This window comes from Homo sapiens, chromosome 14, assembly GCF_000001405.40.
Source record: "Homo sapiens chromosome 14, GRCh38.p14 Primary Assembly".
NCBI classification, from domain to species: Eukaryota; Metazoa; Chordata; class Mammalia; order Primates; family Hominidae; genus Homo; species Homo sapiens.
In genome coordinates this window covers 74,272,832-74,284,922 of record NC_000014.9, presented here as the reverse complement: position 1 = coordinate 74,284,922, position 12,091 = coordinate 74,272,832, and positions in this window count along the sequence as shown.

The window sequence follows — 12,091 nt, the reverse complement described above, 5'->3', positions numbered from 1 at the left end:
CATTCCTATCTCAGGGTCTTTGCATTTGCTGCTTCCTCTGCCTCTAACTGGTTTCCAGTGCTGTTCTGTTCTTAACACTTAGCCTTCTCCCTCACAGAAACTGCCCAAGAAAGCTACTCCTAGGGGCACACTCTGCACCTCTATCCCTCCCTCATGTCAGAGATGGAGACTACTCTTAGATGAGTCGACATAAACATGCGTGGAGGAAAATCAGGTCTTGTGTCCTTCATAGTACATTATGGACAAAATGTTTGTTTTAAATGCATCGTACATCAGCCAGGCAAATAGTTTCCCAAACTTAAGACCCATTTTGGCCACCCAGGAATCTACAGTGACCCATGTGGATGAGACATAAAGATAGCCATAGGTTTCCCATCACTCTTCTGGAGGGTTCTGGGCTGCAGGACAGGCAGAAAAGCCATCTTTTGTCATCTCTATCCACGTTGGCTTAACATGTCAATGTGTGTCTAGTAAAGGCAGCTCAAACCCAACATGTCCCAAACTGAACAAGAAGAGCTTTCCCTGGCCGGGCATAGTGGCTCATGCCTGTAATCCCAGCACTTTGGGAGGCTGAGGTGGGTGGATTGCAAGGTCAGGAGATCGAAACCATCCTGGCCAACATGGTGAAACCCCGTCTCTACTAAAAATAAAAAAATTAGCTGGGTGTGGTGGCACATGCCTGTAATCCCAGCTACTCGGGAGGCTGAGGCTGGAGAATCGCTTGAACCCAGGAGGCGGGGGTTGCAGTGAGCCGAGATCGTGCCACTGCACTCCAGCCTGGTGCCAAAGCAAGACTCTGTCTCAAAAAAAAAGAAAGCTTTCCCACTCACGCCTGTAATCCCAGCACTTTGGGAGGCCGAGGTGGGCAGATCACAAGGTCAGGAGTTCAGGACCAGCCTGGCCAATATGGTAAAACCCCATCTCTACTAAAAATACAAAAGTTAGCCGGGTGTGGTGGCAGGCGCCTGTAGTCCCAGCTACTCGGGAGGCTGAGGCAGGAGAATCATTTGAACCCAGGAGGCGGAGGTTGCAGTGAGCAGAGATTGTGCCACGGCACTCCAGCCTGGGCGACAGAGCGAGACTCCGTCTCAAAAAAAAGCTTTCCCCAGAGCCTTTTCTAGCATCTCCTCTGATGGCAAGTGGCGTTACTGTCCATCTAGCACATCACCAGGTGCTGTTGCTCTGACCCCATAAGTAAATCTTCCAGCCATTCACTTCTCTCACCTGCTTGAATCCTAGCTAGAAGCAGCTCAGAGGGAGCCAGAAAAATGAGAAAAACCACAAGGAGAATCGAGGAACAGGAGCCTGGACGGCAGCTGGACTCTGAAAAAAAGAAGTGTCAGGAGGCAGCCTGAGCCTGCCACGTAGGGGAATGTTAGTAACCAGTGGCACGGCATTCTGTGGGCTATGGGGCAGTTCTTGAAAGTGAGGGCACTTTGGTTTGCCGCACACCAGCCATGTCTGAGGCACCATTCTCAGTTCCAGGGTTACAGTGGGGAGCAAGATGGACCTGGCACCTCTGCTGGAGCTCGCGTGTTCCATGTGGTACATGGTGGGTCTGAAGGCAGAAAGCAGCAGGAAAACACTGGGCTCAACTACAAGTGGAAAACATTTACAAAATCGTATGTCTGTTGTGATACTGTAGCAGGTCTTCTTGAGCTGCCTCTAGAACTCGAGCATTCTAGCATTACCCAAAACATCAAGTCAAATACAAAACCATGGAAGACTATTACAGAATGTTACCAGATGGTTCGTGAGTGTGTAGGGAGTCCTATTTCCTGCTGCAAAGCAAACCATCTTTTTTTTTTTTTTTGAGACGGAGTTCACTCTTGTTGTCCAAACTGGAGTGCAATGGCGCAATCTCGGCTCACTGCAACCTCTGCCTCCCAGGTTCAAGCAATTCTCCCGCCTCAGCCTCCTTAGTAGCTGGGATTACAGGCATGTGCCACCATGCCCAGCTAATTTTTTTTTTTTTTTTGAGACGGAGTTGCTCTGTCCCACAGGCTGTAGTGCACTGGCGCAATCTCAGCTCACTGCCAGCTCTGCCTCCCGGGTTCACGCCATTCTTCTGCCTCAGCCTCCCAAGTAGCTGGGACTACAGGCGTCCACCACCACACCTGGCTAATTTTCTGTATTTTTAGTAGAGATGGGGTTTCACCGTGTTAGCCAGGATGGTCTCGATCTCCTGACCTCATGATTTGCCTGCCTCAGCCTCCCAAAGTGCTGGAATTACAGGCGTGAGCCACCACGCTTGGCCGTATTTTTTTTTTTAGTAGAGGCAGGGTTTCACCATGTTGGCCAGGCTGGGCTCGAACTCCTGAACTCAGGCAATCCACCTGCCTCAGCCTCCCAAAGTGCTGGGATTACAGGTGTGAGCCACTGCGCCTGGCCTGCAAACCATCTTTAAAATCCCCATTATCTTTCCCTTGGTTTCACTTCTTACACAGCAGCCTGTGTCTTCTCTCCTTCTCCTGTATCTCCCCTGCAATCCCTTTAACCCCTCCGAAAGGATTGGGTACTGGAGGGGACAACTTGGATTCCGGGACAGATTATCTCAGGAAAGACCAGGGAGGATGGAAGTGATCTTAGCTTTTGAACAAAAGTTCATGAATGCAACATCTGTGGGGCAGGCACTGCAAACAGAAGTCCTCATAAACAGCTGCCACACCTCCCCTGCATCCAGCATTTTGGAGACATTTTTTCATTTATGTATATGTGTATGTATGAGTGATGGGGTCTTTCTCTGTCGTCAGGCTGGAGTGTAGTAGCACAATCATAGCTCACTGCAGCCTCGACCTCCTGGGCTGAAGCAATTCTCCTGCCTCAGCCTCCTAAGTAGCTGGAACTATAGGTGTGCGCTAGCACGCCCAGCTAAATTTTTTTTTTTTTTTCTTTTGTGGAGATGGGGTTTCACCATGTTGCCCAAGCTGGTCTTGAACTCCTGGGCTCAAGCAGTCCTCTTGCCTCGGCCTCCCAAAGTGCTGGGATTACAGGCGTGAGCCACTGTGCCCGGCCATTTTCTTTTTTCTTTGTAGAGACGGGGCTCTCACCATGTTGCCCAAGCTGGTCTTGAACTCCTGGGCTCAAGCCGTCCTTTTGCCTCAGCCTCCCAAAGTGCTGGGATTACATGCGTGAACCACTGTGCCCTGCCCATTTTTTTCATTTAATTGTCACCACAGACCTAGCAGCAAGGAAGGCTGCAGGGCTTGGGCTATCACTGATGGGGCTGTCAGAGGTAGGGTCCTTGAGTCCTTGCAAAACAAAATGCCTGGGGGTTCTGCTAGGTGTGGAAGAAAGACAGGGACTGAGGAAGGTGAGCTGGTAACCTGGCCACACGGACCAGGCCAGTTGAGAAGGAAGCAGAGTGGGAAAGCCTCTGGGCAGAGGAAGGAGGGAGGGAGATGCTTCTCATGGGCAGAGGATAAGGAGCCCCCAAGAGACTCGGGCTGGCCACTCTGGTCATTTTGAGGGTAACAGAGACTGGAAGGTCACCAATAAGCCTCTGTTCCTGCCATAGGCCAGAGAGAGCTGTGCTGTGTGTTCTGTGTCCACAACAGAGCTGAGCTTGTCGGTCCAGGAAGCCGGAGAAACACAATGCCAGTTAGTCTCTGTAAATGCTGCCTTTCTGGAAGCACTGTCCTGTTGGTGCCAGGAGCTCCTGGCTGATGCTGTACTTGGATTTTGGGACAATGAATGTTCCTGAGCTAATCCCTGGGACAGAGAGGACCCTGTGGAGGCACATGTAATTGTTGGGACAGCCTGCCCTTGGAGAGCAAGTCAGCTGAGAGGGGGGCCAGTACCCTTGTGGGAGGCTGCAGCAATGCCCTCCTAGGGGGTGGGGAGAAGCTTAGCTAAACCCTGGCCCTGGGCATCAAGCAGGAGGACATGGGCTAGGGAACATTGACCTTGAGCCTCCAAGCAGGGTGAGGCTGGCCAGGGTGGGCCAGTGGATTTGTTCATCTGTAGGTAGGAAAGAGTCTTGAAGGTCGGAAGCCTCAGGGAAGGCTCAAGTTCAGGGCAGGACAGAGGGGTTCATTTGTTCTTAGCTCCTGGCATTCAAGGAAATCTCTCAAGGCACTAGCTGAACAGAGACCACACATGACAAGGATTACTGACTTTGCAAAAATAGTTTGGTAAAGTCACCAAACAAAGAGGCAACTACAGCCTTCAGCAATTAAAAACAGTAAACTGGGGAAGGAGGAGAAACTGATTTCTAGGGTTGCCATATTATAATATTCAAATGTCTAGGTTTCTTTTTTTTTTTTTTTTTTTTGAGACGGAGTCTTGCTCTGTCACCCAGGCTGGAGTGCAGTGGCGTGATCTCGGCTCAGTGCAACCTCTGCCTTCCAGATTCAAGCAATTCTCCTGCCTCAGCCTCCCGGGTAGCTGGGATTACAAGCGCGTGCCACCACGCCCAGCTAATTTTTGTATTTTTAATAGAGACGGGGTTTCACCATGTTGCCCAGGCTGGTCTTGAACCCCTGACCCCAGGTGATCTGCCCACCTCGGCCTCCCAAAGTGCTGGGATTACAGGCATGAGCCACCACGCCTGGCCTTCAAATGTCTAGTTTTCAATAACAAGTAGAACCTCACAAATTATACAAAGAAATAAGAAATGATGGTCCATTCAAGAGGAAAAAAGTTGACAGAACCTGTTTCTAAGGAAGCCTAGACATTTAAATGTGCTCAAAGAGCTCATGGAAAGCACGGGCAAAGAACTAAAGGAAAACAGAAAAATGAGGTACAAAATGAATATCAAGAAAGAGACAGAAATTATAAAAAGGAATTCAGGCCAGACACAGTGGCTCACGTTTGAAGTCATAGCATTTTGGGAGGCCAAGGTGGGTGGATCACCTGAGGTCAGTAGTTCAAGATCAGCCTGGCCAACATGGCAAAACCCCGTCTCTACTAAAAATACAAAAAGTTAGCTGGGTGTGGTGGTGGGCTCCTGTAATCCCAGCTACTCGGGAGGCTGAGGAGGGAGAATTGCTTGAATCTGGAAGGCAGAGGTTGCACTGAGCCAAGATCGCACCACTGCACTCCAGCCTGGGCAAAACTCCATCTAAAAAAAAAAACAAACAAACAAAAGGAATAAAGGAATCCAGTAGAGCTGGACCTGAAAAGTATAGCAACTGAAATAAAAAATTCACTAGAGGGGTTCTACAGCCGATGAGAACAAGCGGAAAAAAAAGAACCAGCGAACCTGAAGACAGGATGATTGAAAGTCTCCAGTCTAAGGAGCAGAATGAAAGAAAGTAAGCAGAATCTAAGTGATTGTGAGACACCGTCAAGTGGAACAACATCCTGAGACTGTGGGACTCTTGGAAGAAGAGAAGAGGAAGGGGAAGGAAGAATATTTGAGGAAGTAACAGCCAGAACTTCTCGAGAGTGAAAGGTAGAAAATATTTGCAAATCAGAAATCTGATAAGAGTCTAGTATCCCAAATATTTAAAGAACTCTTACAACTCAACAATAAAAAGACAATCCAATTTAAAAATGGACATTTCTCCAAAGAAGATATATAAATGGCCAACAAGCATACAAAAAGATGATCAACATCATTAGTCATGAGGGAAATGCAAATAAAAACCACAGTGAGATATTTCATACCCACTAGGGTGGCTATAATTTAAAAAACAGAAAATAACAAGTGCTGATGAGGAAATAGAAAATTGGATCTGGGCATGGTGGCCCACATCTGTAATCCCAGCACTTTGGGAGGCCAAGACGGGTGGGTCACCTGAGTTCAGGAGTTCAAGACCAGTCTGGCCAACATGGTGAAACCCTGTCTCTACTAAAAATACAAAAATTAGCACAGAGTGGTGGCACACACCTGTAGTCCCAGCTACCCGGGAGACTGAGGCATGAGAATCGCTTGAACCTGGGAGGCAGAGGTTGCAGTGAGCCAATATCGCACCACTGCACTCCAGCCTGGGCAACATAGCAAGACTCCGTCTCAAAAAAAAAAAAATTGGAACCTTTGTACATTACTGGCAGAAATGTAAAATGGTGCAGCCACTATGGAAAACATTCTGGTAGTTCCTCAAAAAGTAAAATAACTACCATATGACCTGGCAGTTCCATTCAGGCATATCTCAAAAGAACCAAGGATGGGTACCCCAACCAATACTTTTATAGGAGTGTTCATAACAGCACTATTCACAATAACCAGAAAGTGGAAACAGCTCAAAAATGTCCATCAACAGATGAACTGGCACTGGCTCTATCACTGGATTTGGTGCTGAAGCCGCTTCTAGCTCTGCAGCTGGCACTCATTCTGGCTTTAGCTTGGGGATGAGTGCTGTGGTGGGTGCTGGAGCTAGCTCCTGCTTTGTAGCTGGTGCTGGCACTGGCTCTACTGCTAGTGCTAGACTAGGTGTCAGAACTGTCTAGCTCTGGAGCTGGATCTAGGGCTGGTGCTAGAGCAGGAGCAGGCTCTAGCTTCAAAGCTGCCATTGGAGCTGACTCTAGCTCTAGAGCTGACACCAAAGCTGAATATAGCTCTGTGGCTGGCACTACAACTGGCTTAAGCTCTGGAACAGGTGATGGAGCTAGTTCTAGAGCTAGCACTGGCTTTAGCTCTGGAGGTGGTGCCAAAGCTGGCACTTCACCTGGCCTAGGCTCTGGAGCTGGTGCTAGAGCTGGCTCTAGCTTCTCATCTGGTGCTGGAGCTAGTGATGGAGCTGGCTCTAGCTGTGCTGCTGGTGCTGGAGCTGGCACTAGCTCTGGACCTAGAACTTCCTTTAGTGCCAGCGTTGGTGCTGAACCTGCTTCTGGCTCTGGAGCTGGCACTAAATCTGGCTATAGCTCACGAGTGGATGCCAGAGTTGGTGCTGGAGTAGGTGCAGAGCTGTCTGTAGCTCTAGAGCTGGAGCTAGTGCTGGTACTAATGTTGACACTGGCATAGGAGCCGGAGCAGGCTCTAGCTTTGGAGCTGACTCCAGCTTTAGAGCTGACTCTAGCTCTGGAGATAGCACTGGATCTGGAGCTGGCTCCTGAAGTTGAATGTAGCTCTGGAGTTGGCACAACAACTGGTTCTAGCTCTGGAGCTGGTGCTAGAACTGGCTCACTCTCTACAGCTTGTGCTGAAGCTGATGGTAGAGCTGACACCGGATCTGGCCCTAGCTCTGGACCTGGTGTCAGAACTGGCACTGGAGCTGGAAGAGGAGAAAGGTTTGCCAGCATGATTGGATTCCATGTGCCTTTTCAAAGACAGAAAGCATCCCACTGCAGGCTGGACATGGTGGCTCACGCCTGTAATCCCAGCACTTTGGGAGGCCAAGGCGGGTGGATCACTTGAGGTTAGCAGTTTGAGACCAGCCTGACCAACATGGTGAAATCCCATCTACTAAAAATACAAAACTAGGCGTGGTGGTGCATGCCTGTAATTGTAGCTACTTGAGAGGCTGAGGCAGGAGAATCACTTGAACCTGGGAGGCAGAAGTTGCAGTGAGCCGAGATTGCACGACTGCACTCTAGCCTGGGCAACAAGAGTGGAACTCCATCTCAAAAAAAAAAAAAAAGCATCCTACTGCTTTAAGAACAGTCCTGGCCCGGTGTGGTGGCTCACGCCTGTACTCCCAGCATTCTGGGAGGCCGAGGCAGGTGGATCACAAGGTCAGGAGATCGAGACCATTCTGACCAACATGGTGAAACCCCGTCTGTACTAAAATCACAAAAATTAGCTAGGCATGGTGGCGTGTGCCTGTAATTCTAGCTACTCAGAAGGCTGAGGCAGGAGAATTGCTTGAACCCAGGAGGCGGAGGTTGCAGTGAGCTGGGATCACGCCACTGCACACCAGCCTGGGCAACAGAGCAAGACTCTGTCTCGGAAAAAAAAAAAAAAAAAAAAAAGCAGTCCCAGCCCAAGAACTCTGCCCCCAGCAAGTCTTCTCAGTCTGCAGCCCACCAAATGAGTGCTCCGAGCTTACTCTCTGCTCCTGTCCAACACCGCTCGTCCCAGGGTGGCCCAGCCCCAGGCCCCTCCCCACACATTCCCGCACACCCACCCCAGTCCTCTTCATCCTCTTACTCTACCCCAGTGGCCTCTAGGTGCTTGAACTGGGCAAGAAGAAGTCAGGCCTAGCACTCCAGGTACCAAGCCAGCATGGTAAGCTGAATGTAGCCACCAACAGCCTCTGGCAGGGAAAGTCTTGAGGCTGACAGAATTCTCCAGGCACTGGTCCAGACAGGAGCCCAGAATGAGGAGATGGCGCTGGGACAGGTGAGTGAGCAGTGGAGTCAGAGGCCTGGCCTTTCCTCCCATGCTACCCTCCTGTGGCACCCCTGCAGGGGTCTAGGCTCCCGTGTCTGCCCTTGCCCACTTCTATACCCCAAACTCCAGCCCCACTCTAGCTGTCCTGGCAGCAGCAGACCTGGTCGTCAAACATGGGGCTAGCAAGGAGCCTCAGGCATAGGGAGCTCTCAATAAATGTCTGACCAGCCGGGCGCAGTGGCTCATGCCTGTAATTCCAGCACTTTGGGAGGCTGAGGCAGGCAAATCACCTGAGGTCGGGAGTTCGGGAGGTGGAGATTGTGGTGAGCCGAGATCTCGCCATTGCACTCCAGCCTGGGCAACAAAAGCAAAACTCCGTCTCAAAAAAAAAAAAAACAAAATGGTCTGACCGGCTCCCCCAAGGCAGGCCTAGAGAGTCTGGGGGAGGCCCTCCCCATCTAGGGACACATGGATCACCCTTGCCCTTCTGCTCAGGAGGTACCCCAGGGCCTCTCCCTGACGCCAGTCCTCCCAGCCCAGGGTGTCTTCTCACACACTGCTCACTCTGTCTGCCCACATTCTTCCTGTAATTTTTTTTTTTTTTGATACAGAGTCTCACTCTATTATTCAGGCTGGAGTGCAGTGGCATGATCTTGGCTCACTGCAACATCCACCTCCCGGGTTCATGCGATTCTCTCACCTCAGCCTCCCAAGTAGCTGGGATTACAGGCAGGCGCCACCACACCCAGCTAATTTTTGTGTTTTTAGTAGAGATGGGGTTTCGCTATGTTGGCCAGGCTGGTCTTGAACTCCTCACCTCAAGTGATCCGCTCACCTCGGCCTCCCAAAGTGCTGGGATTACAGGTGTGAGCCACTGCGCCCAGCCAGTCTGTCCACATTCTTGACATCTGTCCCTACTCGCTAGCCAAACCGCAGCTTCCAGAGAAGAGTGGGCCTGGCCCCCAGCTTTGCCAGGGGTGGTCAGGTGGGTGAGCACTTTCCATTCCTAGCATAGCCACAGAGTACACTCCTCCTACCATCTGTCTCCCCCTTCCAGTGGAAAAGATGGTGCTGTCCCAGGGGACCTGGCACCATGCCACCAAGCTCAACCACAGCCCTCTCTGCACCCCACCAGGCAGATAGAACCACCAGAGGAGTCTGGTTTCCCTTTAGTTACAGACGGGGGTGGCCATCATCACACCCCTCTAATCCTGATGTACCACGGCCAGGGAGCCACATGCAGCCAGTGGCCTCACAGGGCTATGGTTAACTCTGGACACACATCCACTATGCAGTCACGGACTAATATAGGCAGAAGCCCAGAATGCTCTCTGGCTGATAGCTCTGCCTTCTGTTACTCAGCACTCAGTTGGAAGTATGCTAAGTCATCAGCATGCTTCCACTTCACCCAGTCTCCTGGGAGGATCAAAACCAAATCCTACTGTCTATTGCAGCATCTGGCTTTAGCCTAGGTTTTCTGGAATAACTATACCCCCCACCCCCACTGTAAGTTGATTGTGTTTGAAATCTAGACTGCTACTGCTATACCCCTAGCACTTAGAAGAGTAGACAGTCTAGTGTCCATGTTGATAAATCGTTGGTTAGGGTTCTAGCACATGCTGCCTTTATTAAAAACTGTCCCAAACCCATTTACAAAAGCAGTAGCTAGTGCAAGGGTGTGTGGCTTATAGTGGGGGGCAGGCTGGACTTGAAACTAGAGAAAGCCTAATTCTTGCTTATTTCAAAGGTTCATTCCAGGGGTGTGAGTGAGGTATTAGCTACATGTGCTTGGGGACATCAAAGTACCCTGGACCCCTCCAGTCAGAGAAAAGGGGTCTGGGAAGTCTTTCATGCCAGGATATTCAAAATGCATCTGTGGCCGGGCACAGTGGCTCATGCCTGTAATCCCAGCACTTTGGGAGGCTAAGACAGGAGGATTGCTTGAGGCCAAGAGTTCAAGACTAGTCTGGGCAACATATTGAGCTACAAAAAATTTAAATATTTTTCTTTTCCTACAAAAAATTTTAAAATTAGCTGGGTGTGGTGGCACACACCTGTAGTCCCAGCTACTTGGCAGGGCTGAGGTGAGAGGATCACTTGAGCCTGGGAGGTTGAGGCTGCAGTAAGCCTCATCCCACCACTGCACTACAGCCTGAGCAGTACAAGAGACTGTCTCAAAAAAATAGTAACATTTTAAAAAATTTAAAAAGAATAATAAAGTGCACCTGTAAGCACTATACAGTGTGTTTTCCCAACTCTGTCCCCTGAGAAGGCCTAGAAGCAACTGTACCACAATAACAGTAAGCATACCTTGTGCCTAGATTTTGGTACCTAAATACCATTCTCCACTAAAAAGCCAGACAAGAGGAACCAACAGATGTTAAAAGTAGTGGATTAAAGTTTGATGAGGAATAAGATATTTATATAGTCTCAAAGCATCATCCCACAAAATACTTGTTAATAAGTACATGATACTCATTAACTTTACAATGGAAAAACCTGCAGGTACTATCTTTTTTTGTTTTGGTTTTGGTTTTGAGACAGGGTTTCACTCCCATTGCCCAGGTTAGAGTGCAATGACACAATCTTGGCTCACTGCAACCTCCCCCTCCTGGGCTCAAGCGATTCTCCTGCCTCAGCCTCCCGAGAAGCTGGGACTACAGGCACACATCACTGCACCCAGCTAATTTTTGTATTTTTTGTAGAGACAGAGTTTTGCCATGTTGCCCAGGCTGGTCTTGAATTCTCGAGCTCAAGCCATATGCCCCTCCTTGGCCTCCCAAAGTCCTGGGATCACAGGCACATGAGCCACTGCACCTGGCTAGCAGGTACCATCTTAATCGAATGATAAACATTAACATCACCAGGAATGGAACAACATGGTGTGCTTCCTGATATGATGCACTGAGAATGGAGAACCAGTTCCATGGAATTTTCTCCAAAAATGCAGATTCAGGTATGCAACCTGAGTCTTATGAGGAAATATCAAAACCCAAATTGAGGACATTCTATAAAGTAACTGGCCAGAAATCATCAAGAACGTCAAGGTCACAGAAGGCAGTTATGGATTGGAGGAGACTACAGAGACTGGGTCACTCAATTCAGCGTGCAGTCCTGGATCAGATCACAGTTGATAAAGGACGTTTTTGGAATGATCAGGGTTCTGTGGACTAGTTGATAGTATTTAACACCCTTCTGGACAAATCAATGTCAATTTCTTGATTTTGTTAGTCGTATTTGGTTGTGTGGGAGAGTATCCTCATTTTAAGGAAATATACACAGAAGTATTAAGTGGTAATGGGGTATCATGTCCCCAACTTACTATCAAATGGTTTAGAAAAAAATGCAAAAATAGGCCAGGCAAGCGGGGGTTATGCCTGTAATCCCAGCACTTTGGGAGGCCAAGGTAGGAGGATCACTTGAGCCCAGGAGTTTGAGACCAGCCTGGGCAACATAGTGAGACCCTGTCTCTATAAAAAAATTAAAAAATATTATCTGGGCATGGTGGTGCACGTCTGTAGTCCCAGGTGCTTGGGAGGCTGAGGTGAGAGGATCACTTGAACCCAGGAGGCTGAGGCCACAGTGAGCCATGATCACACCACTGCACTCCAGGTGACAGAGGAAGACCCTATCTCAAAAAAAAAAAAAAGTAATAGTAGAGATACAGAGTGAATAATAAAATGTAGTGAACTGGATTTGTTTTTGTTTTTGTCTTGAGGCGGAGTTTCACTCTTGTTGCCCAGGCTGGAGTGCAATGGCGTGATCTTGGCTCACCACAACCTCCACCTCCTGGGTTCAAGCAATTCTCCTGCCTCAGCCTCCCGAGTAGCTGGGATTACAGGCATGCGCCACCACACCTGGCTAATTTTGCATTTT